Source organism: Homo sapiens, chromosome 8 (assembly GCF_000001405.40).
Source record: "Homo sapiens chromosome 8, GRCh38.p14 Primary Assembly".
Classification (NCBI taxonomy): domain Eukaryota; kingdom Metazoa; phylum Chordata; class Mammalia; order Primates; family Hominidae; genus Homo; species Homo sapiens.
Genome location: NC_000008.11, coordinates 138,810,024 through 138,830,033, shown reverse-complemented (window position 1 = coordinate 138,830,033; position 20,010 = coordinate 138,810,024). Strand labels below are relative to the sequence as shown.

At 46.8% G+C, this 20,010-nt stretch overlaps 1 protein-coding gene across 12 annotated transcripts in view; it reads left to right on the top strand.

Annotated features, from left to right (window-relative positions):
- The window catches only part of COL22A1 (collagen type XXII alpha 1 chain), a 325,807-nt gene that overhangs the window by 84,008 nt on the left and 221,789 nt on the right, over nucleotides 1-20,010 (top strand). For 10 of the 12 annotated variants that reach the window (XR_001745487.2, XM_017013150.3, XM_011516886.4 and 7 more), the window contains 4 exons: nucleotides 3,253-3,376; nucleotides 8,623-8,898; nucleotides 17,015-17,095; nucleotides 18,113-18,235. Coding sequence is in view for 11 of the 12 variants with exons in the window: in XM_017013150.3 (XP_016868639.1) it covers nucleotides 3,253-3,376; nucleotides 8,623-8,898; nucleotides 17,015-17,095; nucleotides 18,113-18,235 (604 nt within the window). In the remaining variant the exon portion in view is untranslated. Of the gene's footprint in view, nucleotides 1-1,910; nucleotides 1,999-2,609; nucleotides 2,861-3,252; nucleotides 3,377-8,622; nucleotides 8,899-17,014; nucleotides 17,096-18,112; nucleotides 18,236-20,010 lie in introns of those variants that run through there. The other 2 variants (XM_011516887.2, XM_017013152.2) reach the window with 2 other exon arrangements.

Here is a 20,010-nt window from a genome sequence, read left to right as displayed (position 1 = left end):
AAAATGACTGATACACATATGTATGTATATATAGGTACATATGGGTACATATATAAACACACGTGTAGGTATATACATATATATATACACACACATGCACATATACCCACATATGTGTGTGTATAACCTAAGCAAAAGTTATTATAATCAGGGGAATAAAAAGTCATTAACAGATAAATCTGTACTTTTTCTTATGATACACTTGTCTGTGTGTATTTCAAAGGTATAAGAAGAAAGTGTGTTCAGGGAAAAAAAATAGCATAATTGGATTCATTAAGAAAATAAGGAGAAAATGGCCAGGTGCTGTGGCTCATGTCTGTAATCCTAGCACTTTGGGAGGCCAAGGCAGGCAGATTACTTGAGGTCCAGGGTTCGAGACCAGCCTGGCCAATGTGGTGAAACCATGTCTCTACTAAAAATACAAAAAATTAGCTGAAACCCTGTCTACTAAAAACAGAAAACATTAGCCAGGTGTGGTGGCGGGCACCTGTAATCCCAGCTACCTGGGAGGCTGAGGCAGGAGAATTGGTTGAGCCCGGGAGGCAGTTGCAGTGAGCTGAGATCATGCCATTGCACTCTAGCCTGGAAGACAAAGCGAGACTCTGTCTCAAAAAAAAAAAAAAAAAAAAACAGGAAAGGAAGGAAATAAAGAAAAGAAGGAGAAAATGAAAAACAAAGCAGCATACTGATCTGTAGCTACAAAGCGTGTGTCTGTGGATGCAGGTGGGGAGGCCCCATCTTCCTCCTGCATGGGCAGTGACTGAGGGTGTCTCTGAATGCTGAGGGAGGCCCAGGTGCTATGAGTGATGGGCCCTGTTCCTACTACCTGGATGTGATCCTGGGTGAAATCCCAACTCAGAGAATGACTTTGAACAACTGGGCTGTCATCTCCCAGCCTGGAGATGTAAACTGAGAATCAGAATCTTGCTCGCAGGTCCTACAGCCAAACAAAGTCCCTGCGGATCTGCAAGTCTGAGAACCAGGAACTCAGACGCCTCCCCACTTCCCTTCCTGTCTGTCTGGCCAGGCAGGGTCCACCTCCTCCAGCAGGGAAGTCAATATCATGTACATTCCTGAGGCAGCCCCCAGCCCCCAGGGCAGGATTGGGCTCCCCCACGGCTGGCTCTGCAGTTAAGGTGCAGTCAGCTGGTGATTAAGAGAAGAGCCCAGGAGAGCAGGTCCCAGGTGTGTCTCCCTCTGCCACTTAGTAGCCAGATGGCATGGAGTTAACCCCTCAGAGCCTGGGTTATAGCACGAGGATCAAAATACCTTTTTTTTTTTTTTGAGATGGAGTCTCGCTCTGTCGCCTAGGCTGGAGTGCAGTGGCATGATCTTGGCTCACTGCAAGCTCTGCCTCCCGGGTTCACGCCTTTAATACCTTCTTTATAGATTCTCGTGAGGAAGAAATTAGGCAATATGTGAAAAGAGTTGTGGTGAGCTTGTGTTAAGCTCTCAAAAGATATGTATTTTTATTAAATCTTAGACTCTTATGTCAAATGAGATCCTAAGTGTAAGTGCTTTATTGAATCTGAGAAACACTATGAAAAAGTAAGCTAAACTTTATTTTGATAGGATGTAAGTCTAGGATAGATCAGTGGTTCTCAACTAAGAGAAATTTCACCCCCACCCCCCAGCGAACCTTGGGTAGTATCTGGAGGCAATTTTGTTGTCACAACTGAGTGAGGGGTTGCTACTGCCATCAAGTGGGTGGGGGCCAGGGAGGCTGCTCAGATTCCTACAAGGCTTGGGACAGCTCCCACATATGTGTTGTCTAGGATGCGTCCTCCAGGAAAATCAACCAGGTCCTGTACTAGCACTGGCGAAAGAGAGGTTTCTCCATGGAAACGGCTGTTGACAGTTTTCAAAGTTCTGCATTCCTTCAACTTTTATGAAGTGCCTGCCGTGCTACTTGGGTGCTGAGGGACAGGGATTTGTCAGTGTTTCCTCACCAGGGACCTCACGAGGAAAACATGGGGAGGATGGAGAGCTGGAAGACAGGTGGCTATGAGTCAAGCAGATGGGGAGAGATGAGGAAGGGGAGGGGGTGATGTCAATGATGTTTCCCAGAACCCTGTTGTGGAGGGAAGGAGAGGAAGAAAGAGGGGAAGTGGGAGATGGCTCAGGTCCCGGCTGGGGATGTGCAATCAGGAGAGGCTGCATGTTGGTGGGGGTGGCGGGGTTCTGTGCTGATATGCAAGAGGCAGGAGGGAGCTCAGGTGCCCTGTACATGATACAGAGGAAGATGGAAGAGCAGCTGGCCTGAGAGTGCTCCGAGGACAGAGGGACTGAGGGATGGCATCTTGGTTCTCGGTGGGGGGGATTGAGCCTCCATAGAAGGGAATTAACAATTTTCATTTCTGAATTTGGAAGAGGAAAAGCAGCCCGAGGACTTGGTGGGGGTGGAGCAACAGGGAGCTGAGGCCTCCCTGAGGTGAGAGGCTGGCTCCACAGGCCAGGCAGGAACCTGGGCCTTGTGGGAGAGAAGAGGATGTGCTACATCCCAGTCTATTCTGGCCGCCATGACAAAGCACCGTAAGCTAAGCTGGGTGGCTTATACACAGTGTTTACTCCTCACAGTTCTGCAGGCTGGGAAGTCTAAGGTCAGGGTCCTCATAGACACCATCCTTCCCTGTACTCTCACATGGTGGGAGGGGTAAACAAGCTCTCTGGGGTCTCTCTTATAAGGGCACAAATCCCATTCGTGAGCTTTCTGCCCTCAAGACCTAATCACCCGCCACCAAAACCCCATCTGCTGTTACCATCACCTTGGTGTGAAGATTTCAACATATGGATTTAGGAAGACAGCAACATTCAGACCATGGCATCCTGGCATCTGGGACAGGGCACCAAGCAGGATAAGGTATATCCATTTGTCCTGGCTGAGGAGGATGCAGCAGGGAGCAGCGAAGCTGGGTGTCTCTCCATATTTGATCCCGGGGGCGTGACCATTTAGCGTTTACTGTGGATGTCATCAGAGTCATGGTGGTGGTGGAGAGATGGAAGCAGACGCACCATAGGGATGGATTTGAAGGTGCTGATGTTGGAGCCTCGGGGGTCATGACGATGGTCTAGGCCACATTGAGGCCCTGACCTAAGGAGAAGGCAGTGAAGGCAGGCCAAGAAGGTGGATGGTGGAAATATTTAGGAAGTCAAATTGGCAGGGCTTGATCACTGCTGGGTTGTGTGGGCTCACTTTGCTGGCTCCCTGCTCTCATCGCCAAGCCTGGTGTCTTTGTCTCCATTTTTCTCCAGGGATGTGTTCCCCCAAGGTTTACCTGATGAGTACGCCTTTGTCACAACCTTCCGGTTCAGGAAAACCTCTCGGAAGGAAGACTGGTATATCTGGCAGGTCATCGACCAGTACAGCATCCCACAGGTAAGGGCAGCAGATGCCTTATCTCAGTGGTCCTGAGCTTTCTGTTCCCCTCTCACAGTGGATGGCACCACCCACCATGTTTTCTCCAGGGCTCTTATCCCTGGGCCTAGAGAGATAGAGAGCCTGGCGTATGGAGGCTCAGAGGACCTGCAGGGGGGATGTCATGAGACCCAAGAGGTCTAGCTTCTTGTCCTAATGATAATGTAGTACCAGGCCTTCTGATGGGGGTAAAGAAGACTGAGTTCCTGTCCTCCAAGACACTTGGTCTAGCCAAGGACATGGACACCAACTCTGCTGTCCTGTGACACCTATATTGGCAGCATGAGTGACCCAGCTTCGTGATGCAGTGGAGGGCACTGGCTCAGGGTCACATAGACCTGGGTTCAGGTCTCGTGTCTACTCCTTCATTCGTGTGGGTCCTGGGATGGGTTACTTTATCTTTCTGAGTCTTGGTTTTCTTAGCTGTAAAATGGAAAATAGAGTACCTACCATGAACCGTTGGTGGGAGAATCAGATGGAATAATGGTCTGTAAAGCATCTAGAACAGTGTCTGATACGTAATAAAATCTCATCATGAGAAGTTCCCTTCAGTGTTCTTCTGAATGAAGCTCTGGGTCCTGTCTTTACTCACCTCTGATGTGTTTCAGCTTTCAGTTCCCATGAAGGTAGGACAGCTCTCCACCAGCACACAGTCCGGTGAGGAAAGAGAAATCTGAAATTCAAAGCCATCAACACCATCTGTTGGTTTGAGATAAAAGCAACACTACTATTTGTTCTCTGCCAAATCCAAATCCCCTTGTTCTCAAGTCATAGACAAACCGTTTCTTTCTCCTCTCCTAGTAAAATGAACTGGATGAAGATATTACTCACTTTTCAGCTGGGAGATACTGACTAAACTTTCACTGGGGGCTAAAATAAAATAAAAGCATGCTCAAGCAATTGGACTCCAGCAGTCACACTCATGGCCTGCCATCTGAGAGGGCAAGATACTCTTAAACAGTGAGCTCACCCTCCCAGGTTGAGGCTGGGCCCTGACTTCAGATGCGTTTGCTTATCAACATGTACATACTCTTAGTAGGAGCTGGGGATTGTTTGGAGGGCTTTACAAATACTAATTCATTTAGTCTTCATAATAACTCTGTGAATATTTTCTACTGTTAGCATCACAGTTATGAGGAAACTGAGCCACAGAGAGGCTAAGAAATTTGCTTACCTTTTGACAGGTAATAAGAGCAGGGGTTGAGATTTGAACCCAGTCATTCAGGTTCCCACATCTGTGCTTTTAACCATATGCTCAGCTGGCTTCTGTTCCAAGCCTGTCCTGATCAATTAGTCCTGCTGAATGATTTTTCCATAACATCCCTGGTCATACTGAGATGCAGAGACATTGAGACATTTTCAAACTAACTGCTGAGAGGCTTGATTTTGTAAGTGTGGAAGGCTGAATGGAGGAGTTGGGATTCTTCTCCAGAGGCCACTTTTCTGGAGAAGTCCATTGCATTCCCATCCAACTCCATCTCCAATTGCACAGGTCTTGCTTCTCCATTTTCTCAGGGTCTGGTGCAGTGGGACTGGGCACCTGACATTACATTCTTGTGGGTGAGCCTGCACCGCCCCCTCAGTCTGGGATCTCTTCCTTCATGGCATTTGCAGAGCTGTCTGTGTCCTGTCTGCCATGTGTGCATCTTCCCCTCCTTCTGTCAAAATGAGTAATGGGATGAAATACCACAGAACCATGGAGAGATGAAGTCTGTCTTGAGATTTGAGATTCCTGTCTGAAGAGGCACACAGAAATTTACCCTTGTTAATCAAGGCTTGGTTGAGTGCCCGTCACCAGAAGTGCCAATGATGCGCACTTCCACGCCCTGGGGAAATACTGGCTAGACACAGGAAAGTTGGATAAAGACCTATAAAGAAGATGAACTGTGAGCAGAGTGGTGTTGGTTGCATGCCCATGCACTCTGTCAGTCATGGCAGATCTACAGATAGAGAAGTTCATCTACAGATATATATGTGCATGCTTTCATTTGCCATTTACAACCACCCTTAAAAGCTGACATTTTCCCCATTTGTCATTTGGGTAAACTGAGGCTGGGTTTCAATAAGTCTTGTAGGCCAGTCTAGGGACTTTTTGTTTGAGAAGAGACTCTGTGGAGTTGCACAGGCCCAGAAATAGGAGGACAAATTAGGAGAACATAGTAGTGATCCAGGCAAGTGTGGATGCCGGCAGTAATAGAGAGATTAGAAGAAACAATCAGGTTATAGATTAATTTTGAAAATAGAACCAGTAGGATTTGCTGATGGAGCTGACATAGAAAGTGCCTTCCCCAGGGCCACCCAGCTAGTATTGGTAAACACAAGACATCGGACTGCTGGATGCCCTCCCTTGCTCTATATCATGCTAGAGGCAGAAACATGGGAAAGTCATGTCCCCAGGAAGCTCTGAAGGTTCAGGGACACAGTGCTCGAACATATGAAATAGAAGACCATGTTTAATCATGCAATTATTAGCTTTATATGTATTAGAAGTATTAGATCATTTGACAGGGTTTCATAGTTTTCTATTTTATGCCCTACTCATAGCATAAAATAGGTGATGGAATTAAAATAAATCCCAGTCTTCCTTGGTTGTACTGAAGCCATGTGGAGCACAGAAAAAGAGACCAGAAGACCCAGGTTGTGTTGAATACGTAGCTGATCCCCCTGCACTACGTGAGCACCTTCCTTTAACTACAGAGACTCTTATTCATTTGTTCATTCCTTCATGCATTCAGTACCTTGTTATTGAGTGCCACTGTGTACCATGTGTTTTCCTAGCCACTGGGATTACAGAGATGAAGAGAGAAAATGCCTGTTTAAAAGCATGGATGGGAAAGACAAAAAAGGTGAACAAAAGATACGCATAAGATAATTTCATATACTGATGCTGTGCTATGAAAAAAGTCAATAAATGGTTGGGCACAGTGGCTCATGCCTGTAATCCCAGCACTGTGAGAGGCCAAGGCAGGCAAATCACCTGAGGTCAGGAGTTCAAGACCAGCCTGGCCAACATGGTGAAACCCCATCTCTACTAAAAATACAAAGATTAGCTGGGCATGGTGGTGCGCACCTGTAGTCCCAGCTACTCGGGAGGCTGAAGCAGGAGAATTGCTTGAACCTGGGAGGTTGAGGTTGCAGTGAGCTGAATCACTCCTCTGCACTCCAGCTGGGATGACAGAAAGAAAAAGAAAAAAGAAAAAAGCCAATAAATCACATCTTGGGATGTGAGAACAGATGGCCAGGTTAAAATCCAAGAATACATGTTTATCAGAGAAGGTTTCACTGCTGTGATGCCTGTGAACTTGCTTAATTCATTATTGCAAATATTTAGAACAGTGCCTGGCAAATAATAAATACTATATAAATGTTTTATATATATTATACTTCTCATAATCCTCGTGACAATTCATTAATTAAATTATCGTGGATCAATTTATATGATCCTCTTCACAAATAGGCACTACTATTGGTCCCATTTTACAAATGAGGAAGCTGTAGAAAGGTTAAATAACTTACCCAAGGTCACACAGCTAAAAAGTGATTCATTGGTTTAGATGTAGGCTAGCAAGAGACAGCCCCCACTGGGCCCACATTTTTGACGAGTGCTGTAGCAAAGTAACTGGGGTTAAGGGAGCTGATGCGGTTAAGGGATAAGGGTTAAGGAAACCAACAAGAAATGCCAAGGCATGCCAGGATCAGCCACAGGAGGAAGCTACCACCTGGGCCTGGATAGGCAGGGGAACGGGGAGGAGATGGTGAGTTCTAGAGTCACAGAGGAGGATATATGTCCAAAGAACTGGGGCACATGGAGGGACAAAGCCACTCAGGAGCCACAGGGAAGCCAGGAGGGGTGGGAGGAATAAATACTCCAACTCTCTCTCTTCCTGCTCACTGGTCTCCATTCCAATGGACTTCCCATGGGCCAAGCTCAACTAGAAGCCAAAGGGTCCAGGAGCCGAGAAGAAGTCCTAAAAGGTCAGATCCTGGGAGCAGGGAGCCCCAGGGAAGGGCAACACGTGAATATTAGAGCAGATGAAGACTAACCTTGCAGAGATGGAACAAGGAAATACTATTTCATTCACTCAATGGATACTCATGTTCTGTGCCTTCTATTCTGTTCATACTTTTGTGCACTGATTGTGTTGTGTTCCTGACACCTGGCATGTTGCCTGCTGGGCACACAGGATGTTTGGTGACTATTCTGGAGGGATGACAAAATAAGTACATGGATGAGAACATAATCATTTATTCATTATTAAAAAGCAATCAGGCTGAGCACGGTGGCTCACATCAGTAATCCCAGCACTTTGAGAGGGCAAGGTGGGCAGATCATTTGAGGTCAGGAGTTTGAGACCAGCCTGGCCAAAATGGTGAAACCTTGTCTCTACTAAAATCACAAAAATTAGGTGAGTGTGGTGGTGCACACCTGTAATCCCAGCTACTCGGGAGACTAAGGCGGGAGAAGAGAATTGCTTAAATCTGGGAGGCAGAGGCTGCAGTGAGCTGAGATCACACAACTGCACTCCAGCCTGGGCAACAGAGTGAGACTCCATCTCAAAACAAAACAAAACAAAACAAAACAAAAAATCGGAAGTAAAACAGTAAAATCTTCTCCAGAATTTGCCCATTCCAAAATGCCTGTGCATTTTCCGAAGGCTACCCCAATGACCCAGACAGGTCAGACCTCTGCTATCAAGAAACATTTTATGGGAGCCCCAGCTTTATCCTCAAATAAAAGACAGTGTAGGGTAATAGATCAGGCCTGAAGATATTTTTGGTTTAACCAGCCCACGATTTTAAAAGACACTGAAACTAGTTGGGATTTCTGGCTGGTCTCACAACTCAAGCCCCTCTGTGCATGAATTGTCTTGGAGTCTCACCAAAGCTCTCTTACCCGCATAGCCCTTCCAGACAGTTGAGGCTGTGACCCCTGAGTTAATGTATGAGTGCAATTATTCCTTTTAATACTGGGTTTAGAACAGCCTGCAAGGTAGACATCATTAACACCATTGTGCGAGGAGGAACCCGAGGCTCTCAGAGGTGTGACGGAATTTGTCCAAGCTCAGGTGGCAGGTGACCAGCTGGTAAGAGTCACAGCCAGGATTGACTCAGGATTGCCAGGTCTGACTCTGAACTCCCGTTTCCCATTCTCTCCTTTTCCCTTGGCCCCAAGAAGCTCAAGGAGTCTCTGGTCCTTTCCTCCCCAGGTCTCCATCCGGCTGGATGGTGAAAACAAGGCAGTCGAGTACAACGCTGTGGGTGCCATGAAAGATGCTGTCAGGGTGGTCTTCCGAGGTTCTCGGGTCAATGACCTCTTTGACCGGGACTGGCACAAGATGGCCCTGAGCATCCAGGCCCAGAACGTCTCCCTGCACATTGACTGTGCGCTGGTGCAGACACTACCCATCGAGGAACGGGAGAACATTGACATCCAGGGCAAGACTGTGATTGGCAAGCGCCTCTACGACAGTGTGCCCATTGACGTGAGTACCAGGGGGCCTTCTGCAGCCCAGGTTCCAGGCCACCGGGGAGAAGCCTTGGGAGCTAAGTGCCCTCAGTGTTCTCCACACCTGCATGAACCAGGTACCAAATCATCACCTTGGACCGTCTTAGAAGGAAAGACCCTGACTCAGAAAACTGCCATATTTGAACCCCAATTCACCATCACCCATGTATTAACTCATTCGGTTATTCAACCATTCCATCAATCATTCATCACATATACATTGAGCACCTACTATGTGCCAGGCACTGTGCTCTGCACTGGGGACACCGGTACCCGCAAAAGAGAGCAAGACTGACATGGATCTGGCCGCATAAACAATTTTAGAGAAAGGTAGCTCCTAGGTCTGCAAAGTCACACACACACATACATACATATATAGATACATATGTATATGAATATATATATGCAGGTAGGTGGATAGGTATATAATAGTTTCTGATAAATTTAAATACAGATTTTTTCCTTCTTCCTTGATTGTAAAAAAAATTGGAAAATATGTGGAAAATAAACAATAATCATCCTCATTGCACCAACTAGGGATAACAACTGGCAATAACTGAACATCCTGAATCAATGTTCTTTCCTTCTTTTATTTTTCCTCTTCCCTCCTTACTTCATTTCTCTTCTGTTTTTTTCATTTCTTTAATTTTTCTTTCTTCCCTCTGGAAATACATACCCACATCTGTAGCCACAGAGATGCATACACCGTAAGTATGTACATAATACAATACACACAGACACCTTGCACAGTGATCCACATGTTCCATCTTCAAGCTGAAGTCAACGTTAGCTCCCATGCCCAAGAGCATCCCCCACTGCCTGAGAAATAACAGGAAACATGATGTGGGGAAAGCTCTTTCCAAAACCATTTTATGTATCTATGTATACATAAGCATAAGCAAATATAGTACCATTACGCATAGGATAGATTCTTGGAAGTTTATGTAAATAATGGACTACATCTGGCTTTTTTTGTTTTCTTTACTCAAAATCATGTGTCTAAGCTTTTATTTTTTTTTAGCTAAAGCATAATGCTTTGTTATATATTCATTCATACGTCATTCATTCTCCTGTTAGTGGTATTTAGATAGTTTCTAATGTATCACTACATAATTAGGAAGCCTTGGACTTTGAAAAGGGGGGTACATCTCCATGCACTTTACTTATGAGGAAAATGTAAGCAACAGCTGTCCTTTAAGCTTGAGATATAGATTAATTGAGAGCATTTCTTGGAGGTATGTACCCTCAAGTTTAATGATTGGGCTGTGGGATACACAATTTTTAACTTTCCCATGTATTTCAAATTGCTCTAGAAAGTGACCTTTATATGTGTGTATGTATGTGTGTGTGTGAATATATATATATGTTGTGTGTAAATATATAAATTATATATAATATATAAACATTATATAAACATATACATACATTATAGACATAAATTATATAGATAATGTTTATTTAATTTATATCTATATAATTATATATACCATTATATATAATATATAAATATATAAACATGTGAACATTATATATAGATACATATAATTTATATCTATATAATGGTACATTATATAGATATAAAATATATGTGTATAATGTTTTGTTGTTTTGCCAGTCTGCTGGGCATAGAGGGTAATATTGCGGTTTTCATCTGCATTTGCCTGATTACCATTGAGACTGGAAATCCTTCCCTATGTTTACTGATGGTTCCCACGTCCCCCTTTGGTGATGCTAGGCCATATCCTTTGCCTGTTTTACTACTATGCTAGTTTTATTTACTGAATGATTTCTAGATAACCTTTACATATTTTGTATACTAATTGCTTATTTGTTATACATGCTGCAAAATTGTTTCCTGGTCTGTCAAACATAAACCATAAGGAAAAATGAGTAAGTTGGGAAACATAAAATTTTAGGAAGTGGCATTCTGGCAAAAGACATCATAAACAGGTTTATAGACTTTGTCATAACTTGCTTTGTTAACAGAATGATAAATCATCAAAAACCCTGTGCATACCAATTTTTAAAAATTAAGCTGAGAGTGAGTTGGTCAGGGGTAGTGGGGAGAGGAGAGATTGGGGCTTGCAGAGGTGGGAGGACAGACACGTGCAAACTGCAGCTCACATGCCAGCCACTGCCAGCCAGCTGTAACACCATCGCCCACGTCACACACTGTTCATGTTTTCCAGGCTTTGTTTATCTGTTAGATTGTTTAATCTCTGAAATGGGAATCACACCCTGTTTGTTTTTATATGCAGTTGCTGAGGGGATGAAATAATAGATGTGGAACCAAGTTAAGCAAAAAATAGTAAAATAAAAGTAAAGCTATAAAATCATTATTCAGCCTGCTGCTAATTCTAGCTACTTGTGCAGAGGCTCTGTGCCACGCATTGCACTAAAGTGCTCCTTTACCCCATTTCTGACCAAAATCTTTACAACTTCAGAAAGTAGATAGAGTGGACATCCTCATTTCACAGATGGAGAGAGATGCTCCTGGAGAATTGGAGGACTCTTCTGAGATCACAGAGCCAACAAATGGCAGTTGGGGTTTCCACTCACGCAGCCCGTCTTCCAGGTCCATTTGCAAACCTCTCCCTGCCTAAGATAACAGACATCAAAGGGCTGGACAAGATGGAGCTATGGGGTATTTATGACACAATAAGGATCACTGTTATCTCCCTCAGAGTGTGCATCACGGTCACAAACACAACCCTTCTTAATCCTAAATTCAGGCCAGGTGGGTGGATGCTGCTCACATTTTATAGGTGGGGAGATTCCAACTGAAAAGTATCAGGTGACTTGTTTAAGTTCCCTGTCTTGGGCAGCCAGGCTAGGACTCTGGCTCTGTGAGCTCCATGGTTCTACTGTCAGCCCCTGAATAACAGTCCCTGAAGCAGATACCCTCTGAGCTGTAAGGAACCCAGAGAGCATCTTATCCAGCCCCTCATTTACTCTACAGACAAGGATACGGAGGCTCAGAGGGAATAACGAACATGTCCAAAGATATAGAGCAAGATTAGATCCTTCTAACCCTGGTTCCAAACATCCAACAATGAGATTTCCACTATATTTCTATTTGAGGTAGTGGGAGACTATATTTGAGTTAAAAGTCTCCTAAAATAAGTGCCAACTTTAGCAAATAGCCCCACATCCCTAAAAATGCCTGTCTTAGCCTTTGAGTTAAACAAAATTGTTCTGGAGTCCAAGCTCCCCTATAGCCTCTCTGGTGCTGTTTCCTCAGCTGTAACAAGAGAAAAATGAGCCCTCCCTCCACAGGGTTGTTGTGTGATTAAATGCTGTATCATATGTGAAGTGCTTATAAAACTTCCTGGAATACCGCCAGCTTTCAATAAATGCGTCATCATGAACATCATCACCACCATCTTCACATTATCATGGTGGTGGTGTCAGGTTTTGAAAACAGGAAGAGGATTAGCTTCTGGTACTCTCCAAGGTACCCATTTGTATTATATGGTCGACCCCTAAACAGGGGATTGGAAATCAGACCTGAGTTTCCTTCTGGACACATCCCCACCACATACAACACCCTAGTATAGTAGAAGTAGTTGGTTCCCCACCTATATCCCCCTGGGTCCTCATCATTTCAGTGCATACCAGCTGTGCTGCCAACTGCCTGCACCTGTCTTGCCTGAGGGCTTTCCGTCTCTACCAGAGACAGTGCTATCCATTATCAAGCAGGCATCAACACCCACAGGAGCAGCCCTCCGCCAAGGACTGGTGGCAGTTGCAGTATCAATACCCCAGCTCCCTCACCACTTGACATCCTAACTCTGAGTCACATATTCTTGACGGGCTCCAGAGTTCCCCAACACGTGTAAACTGCAGATGCTCACAGTGGTAACACCCTTGATAACAGCCCTTTACAGGCTAGCTTCCTTTCCCTAACTCACTTTCCAGCTCTGCTACCAGTGCTCCCAAATTAAATAAAGATGCTACTTCTTGAATAGACGTTTCTAGGTCTACTAAACTAGACTAAAACACCCAGGCCAGTGGCCTCACCTGTCTGCACCTTCACTTCCTCATCTATAGAAAGGAGACAGTGGAAACTCACACCTGTCAGAGCTATTGTGAGGATTAAGTGAGATCACCAGTATGTAAACACAGCACCTAACAGTGCCTGGCACATGGGGAGTTCTCAGCTGGGTTAGAGGCAATAGAGAATAATGAAGAGTGTCCATGGGGGTATTACACCCATTGACTGTTCCATGTTGCATTTTTATGTTAAAACCAAGTATCAAGAAAATATATAGGAGAATCAATACATCTCTACCTCTTAGTAAATCTTCCAGAAGCATCAGCTGTGGTACTTGTAGCCACATGGTTTGGGGCATCCTACACATTCTACACTGAAGCTTCATCTGTGGCTGACACTGTGCTGTCATGGACTCTGTTTTCCTTGGTTCCCACCACAGCCCTGTGAGTCCATCTCACAGAAAGAAAAACTGAGGTTCAGTTTTCCTAACTTGACCAGCTGATATGACAGAAAAGTAGAGCTGAGGCTCAGACTGGGCCGTGCTGAATGCAGCCTTCCAGCTGTCTGTGCTCCCTAATTGGTTTCCACACTGCAGCCAGCAAAGGGTCTCTAAGCTGCTGATGGGTGGGATACGGAGGGAAGCTGGGATCCAGGGAGCCAAGCAGACCCATGCAGCAGTTCAACCCATAATTGCTGAGGGCAGAAACCGGAGCAGGACTTCCAGACAGGAGTGGGGCAGCACAGTGATGTCAGGAGGTGAAATCCCAGGGTGTGGGGCAGGGAGGAAAGGAAGAGAAGGATTGAGTGGCTGGGGCAATGCTGGCATTTCAGGCAATCGGAAAGGGGCCCCTCTTGGCTCAGAGGACCTCTCACCCCACCTGAGAACGCCTCTGTCCAGATCCCCAATCCAGTGTGCTCTGTCCCTGGCCTGCCTCCTGTCTCCTTCTTCTCCTTCCCTGTCCCTGCGGCCTTGCCAGGCAGTCCCAGCTGCTGCGAGTATGTTTGATAATGAAGAAAGCAGGGCTGTCTCTGAAAGTAGGCTTTGTTCAAAACCACAATTTTTCATTTTGTCATTTTCTCCTGTTTCTGGGCTGGTTCTCTACAGGAAATAAAACAGACAGATGAATGGTATTGTTATTGTTTCTGCTGAACAAAGTCAGTGGGGTGAGGGGCTACACTTCAAGGGGCACTTCAGTGTGCAGAGGGACTCCCGAGTCCAACATGGGCCTGAGAAGGGAGCAGGGGAGTGGTCAGTCCAGGGCACTTTGCATCAGTGTTCAATGCAATAAGCGTTCCCCCCTCCACTGACTGAGCTCAAGCTCCATTTGATAAATGCCCATCCATTCATCCACTCGTCCACCCAGCCATCGATTGTACGGCACTTTTATGAGTCGGACTGCTCCAGCGAAGGACAGGAGACAGGAGACCTTGCCCTCGTGGTCTATGTTCTATTAGGGATGTTTAAAAAACTGAGCTAAGAAACAGACAGAATCATTCATTGTGAGAAGTGCTGTTAGGACCACATTCAGGATGTTGTGCTAGAGTGACAGGGAGGGCCTGTGTGTGGACAGGCGGCTGAGGAGCCAGCGCAGGAGCAGGAGGGGTGGCAGGAGGAAACCAATGTGGCTGAAGGAAAGGGAGCAATGAGCATGGCAGACTAGGGGTGAGCTTGAACCATGTCCTGCAGGGCCTGGGGAGAGCGAGAGATTGTCGACAGCTCTGATACATTAGCAAGAGTTCGGCTTTCGTGCTTGAGAAGGCAGCACTGCCTGGGATTCGGTCCTTGCTCTCGGAAGTCCTGGAGCCTGGAAGGAAGATGGACATACAGACGTCTAATTATCCTTCAGTCTGCTGTGTCTGATGTTAGCTGTCTGTGCAATGTATTAGTCTGTTCTTATGCTGCTAATAAAGACATACCCAAGACTGGGTAATTTAGAAAGGCAAGAGGTTTAATTGACTCAGTTCCAAATGGCTGGGGAGGCTTCACAATCATGGTGGAAGGTGAATGAGGAGCAAAGTCACATCTTACATGGCAACAGGCAAGAGAAAGCGTGTGCAAGGGAGCTCCCGTTTATAGAACCATCAGATCTCATGACACTTATTCACTATCACAAGAACAGTATGGGGATTCAATTATCTCCACCTGGCCCCACCCTTGACACATGGGGATTATTACAATTCAAGGTGAGATTTGGGTGGGGACACAGCCAAACCATATCATGCAAGATGCACATGTGGCAGAGAAGAGGGCCTGATGAATTCTTGGCTGTAGAGGGAGGTGTATCAGTTACACCTGTGGCTGTGTAACAAGTTATCCCATCTCCCCCAGCAAAAGCAGATTAAAACAACAAACATGTACTGTCTCATAGATTCCATGGATGAGGAATCTGAGAGTGGCTTAGCTGAGTGGTTCACTCAGGGTCTTTCACTGGGCTGCCCTCAAGCTGCTGGCCAATGCTACAGTCATCTCAAAGCTCAAATAAGGCTGAAAAGCCACCTCCAATCTCACTAGGAGCTGTTGGAATCTTCTTGTGAGCTGTGGAATGGAGGACCTCAGTTCCTTGCTAGTGTTTGCAGCCACCCTAATTCCTTTCCACCTGTGCCTGTCCACTGAGTAGCTGACAACATGCTACCTTCTGTGCCCCATGGTGAGTGATGAGAGAGAGAGGGACACACAGAGAGACAGAGAGAGAAGAACACACTGAAGACAGCAGCCAGTCTTCTTATGACCTGATCTCAGAAGTGACATGCCATCACTTCACACCAGGGGAGGGGAATTAAGTTCCCAATCTGTGGATGTATTTGAAAAACAGCCCCTAAAGGGGATACCTGGATATGGCTCTGGGTGGTGACTGGGAGATTGCTCGTTGCTCAAGGGCTTTCCTAGAAGAGGTACCACGTGCTAAAGCGTGAATGTGCAGGTGTGGTTTGCCATGTGGTTAGATGCTGCAGAGTGCAAGTGCAGGTGAAGAGAGGGACACCTGGGGAGCCAGGCAGGGCCAGGCCCTGGCAGGTGGGGTGTCCCACGAAAGGGCCTGGGCTTTGTCTGTAGACTGTGTGTGTGTGAATGTGTTCATGCATGTGGATGTTTTAGCACCACAACCCCTTTAAATTTTAGGTTTTTTACGTGTTACGTCTTGTTTAAGGGGCTGTCATATTAAAGGAGGTGATAGAAGTAAGTTTTTATTTTAAAAGTTCACTGAAACAACTGTGGAAATGCCTGGAGAGGTTGAAAATAGGGATATGTGGAACTTGGAGGCCTTTGCAATAGCATCATTAAGGATCTTGTTCAATGCAGTGCTGGTGACCTGGAGAGAGGATGGTGGTGTGCCTCTGTGTGCGGAGCGGAGGGCAGAGGCCTTAGCACCTTCAGTGTAGAACAAAACGCTGGACTTTAACGTGTCCTGAAGCCCCTTCAGTGTAGAACGAAACGCTGGACTTTAACGTGTCCTGAAGCCCCTTCAGTGTAGAACGAAACGCTGGACTTTAACGTGTCCTGAAGCCCCTTGCACGGGGGCTCTCCCTTATGGAAGGAAGGGGTTGTATTAGTCTGTTCTCACACTGCTAATAACGACATACTCAAGACTGAGTAATTTATAAAGGAAAGAGATTTAATTGACTCACGGTTCCATATGGCTGGGGAGGCCTCACAGTCATGGCAGAAGAACAAGAGACATCTTACTTGGTGGCAGTCAAGAGAGAATGAGAGCCAAGAAAAAGGGGAAACCCCTTATAAAACCATCAGATCTCGTGACACTTATTCACTACCATGAGAACAGTATGGGGGAAACCCTCTCCATGATTCAGTTATCTCCCACCGGGTCCCTCCCGAAACACATGGGAATTATGGGAGCTACAATTCAAGATGAGATTTGGGTGGGGACACAGCCAAGCCAGATCAGGGGTGTGAGCAGATGATGCTTAGCTCCTTGTGAAAATCCAGAGTGGAGCCCAGGATAGGGGTATCCTGGGGTGGACTCAGGAAGACCCCAAAGAGGAAGTGGAACCAGATACCAGGACGGGGCCTGTGTGAAACCACGGAGGTTTCTGGGTTCCAAAGTCCCTAAAACTTATCCTCTCTCCTTGCTTTCCTTTCCAGTTTGACCTACAGCGGATTGTGATCTATTGTGACTCGAGACACGCAGAATTGGAGACTTGTTGTGATATCCCCTCGGGTCCGGTGAGCAGACTCTCGCACAGAGAGGATGGGAGGAAATGGGTGTGTGGCCTCCAGAGGGAAGGGGAATCCAGAGCTTAGGGTTGGGTGGTTGGTGGTCAGGGAGACATCCACCATCAGAATATGGCCTGAGAGGGAGCTTAGGGTATGGGCTGGGGGAGCCAAGCCATGCAGGTTCCTCCAGGGCTACTGTGGTCTGTACCTTAGTCAGTGTAACCCCAGTGCTGCTAGCTGAGTGATGAAGCCTTGCTCTAGGGGATGTAGGAGGCAGGGGCTGGGAGGGTGTTTCTAATGAGGGGATGACTGTCCGTGCCACCAGCGCCCAGAGGAGGGAGAGGCCGCAGTGCCCTGGGCTGGTCAGCAAGACAGGGAGGTCAGGACATGGATGGCCCAAGACACCAGGGTTTGCCCCTTCAATCCCTCTGTGCAGGCTCTGCTCTGTTCTCGGACCTCAGCCTCTGCCCCGTTTCAGGCCTCTCCCTTTCCAACCCTCTTTGCCAAGTCCTGGTCACAAGGCTTGCTTGAAAGACTCAAATAATAATGGAGCCTGCTTCCCGGGCTGCAGGGTGAGATCCACGCAATGCCTGGTTAGCCTCATCCCCAGGACCCAGTTCCAACTCAGCCAGCGCACCCGGCTCAGGGCTTCTGTGGCATGCAGATAGACAGCAGGTGCTGGGAATGTGCAGCCAGATGGACCTGGTTGTGGAGTCAGAGGGTGAGGGAAGAACAGAATGGGATGAAGAAGGAAAAGGAGGAGGTGAGAATAGGGACAGCGGGAACTGTTGAGCACTTGCGAGGTGTGAGACTGTGGGCGGTTCACCCAGATTGCTGAGCCAGCCAGTGAAATGGCTGAGCCTGGGCCGGCCAGGCTTTCTGCCCCAAGGCCTCAGGAGAGACATCCTCAGCGTTTTCTCAACCTTTGGCTGCCTGGTTCTGAGGAAGCACCCGACACTGTGCTTCTGCCAGGGAGTGCCTGCTGAGTGAAGAGCCAGGTTCTGACCTCCTGGGCTTTCCTTCCAGTGCCAGGTGACCGTGGTGACAGAGCCTCCACCTCCACCCCCACCCCAGCGGCCTCCCACCCCAGGCAGTGAACAGATTGGGTTTTTGAAGACCATCAACTGCTCCTGCCCAGCTGGAGAGAAGGTATTGTCTGCAGTCCACCTTCAGCCCCAGCAGAACCCTGGGTGGTGCAGTGGGAGTTTCCCATCATGCATGTGGCCTTTCAGGTCAGGGGGGCACCAGGAGGCCCATGGCTGTCAGCTGACAGCACCCTGTGTTGTGCCTTGGACCTCTTGCTTCTTGTGCACACTGGAAGGGGATTGCTGCATACCAGGTCCTGATGAAAGCTTTCTAGGAGCAGAATGTGCGTTCCCCAGGCTTCCCAGGTTACTCCTTTGTGATCTCCACTCAGGGGTGACTGAGTCAAATGAGATGCTGTTTGAGAATAAGACTCAGAAGAAGACAGTGAGTGAGGATTTCTATGTGCTTTGCAAGAACACACCCTCATTCCTTTCTTCTCAATGTTTTCTTTGATTAACCATTCACTATCATTCATATATATATACACGTGTATATATATATATGTGTGTATATATGTGTATGTACGTGTGTGTATATATGTGTGTGTATGTATGTGTATATATATATGTGTGTGTGTGTGTGTGTGTGTATATATATATATGTAGAGTTTTGTCTATGTGTTTCTATTTTTAAAAAGTGGTGCATTTCTGTGAACACCACCACGACCGTCCTAGAATGGACTGAGACTAGAATAAATATCTCACTGTGTGCCCAGGGCTGTGATTTGTTTTCTTTTTCTATAGACAGTGACCCTTGATAAGGGGTAAAAAAGTTCTTCTCCATTTGAGTAGAAGGAACAGAAAGATTTACAAAAGGCAGACGCCAAGTAGAACTGTGCTGGGGAAAGTGTCTGCGAAGTTCTGCTGAGCCAATGGCCCCGGGGCCCTTCATCTCCTGTACCGGGCTGTATTGTCCCTCTCTATCTGTTCCTCTCAGCTCAGTCCCTGCATGTGAGAGGTGCTTGGTGACTCTGCTGGGGACAATGGATGCATAGACAAACAGACGAGATGACGGTGGGAGTTAACTGGAGTGGGCCTGCTCTGGGTATTGTAGCAGCAGTCTTCTTTTCAGAAGCCTATCCTGGTAGACAGACTGGCTTCCTTCCCCTCTCTCCTCTCCTCTGTTCTCCTTCACACTCTGCCTTCCTTCTTTTTGTGCTACCCAGAAAGCCAGACCGTGAGGTACAGGGAACCCTTGGGGAGTTCTCAGTTAATTCGGACATCGAACTCTGGCCTCCCTTGCTGGAGGCCCAAGCTGGAAGCCTGCTGTGAGCTTAGGCTATTTCTGGTTAGTGGGTGACCTTAAGAGCCCTTCAGCCTGGGGCCTGTGTAAGGGATGAGATGGGGCGGAGGCAGGAGCCAGGGCTGGTGCACACAGTGCCAAGCAGCAGCTCCTCCACCCACCCCCGGCAGGCTAAGGTCCACCGCAGTCAGGCTGAGGATATGGTTTTTACATGTCAATGAAATAACAGAAGCAGCTGTTGAAACCCAAATCCGCTGGAATCCTTGTTTAAAGCAATGAGCAGGATGAGTGATGGCATGGTAAGGTTTTGGTCACAAGCCAGTGTGCACACAGATGGACTGTGCCAGGAGCGATGCCAGACCCAATGCCTGCTCTTCTTCCAAGACATCCCAAGGAATTCTTTTCTGCACACATTATTATCTGTGTCATTTCCCTCTTCCCTCCTTCGTGTCCTCTCCTTCCTTCCTCCTTCCCTCCCTCTCTTTCCTCCTCCTTTCCTTATTCTCCATCCATCCATTCAATAGTTATTCATTTAGCACCTGCTATTTCCATGACAGCATATTCCTTTTTCTCCCTGTACTTCTATTTGTTATAAC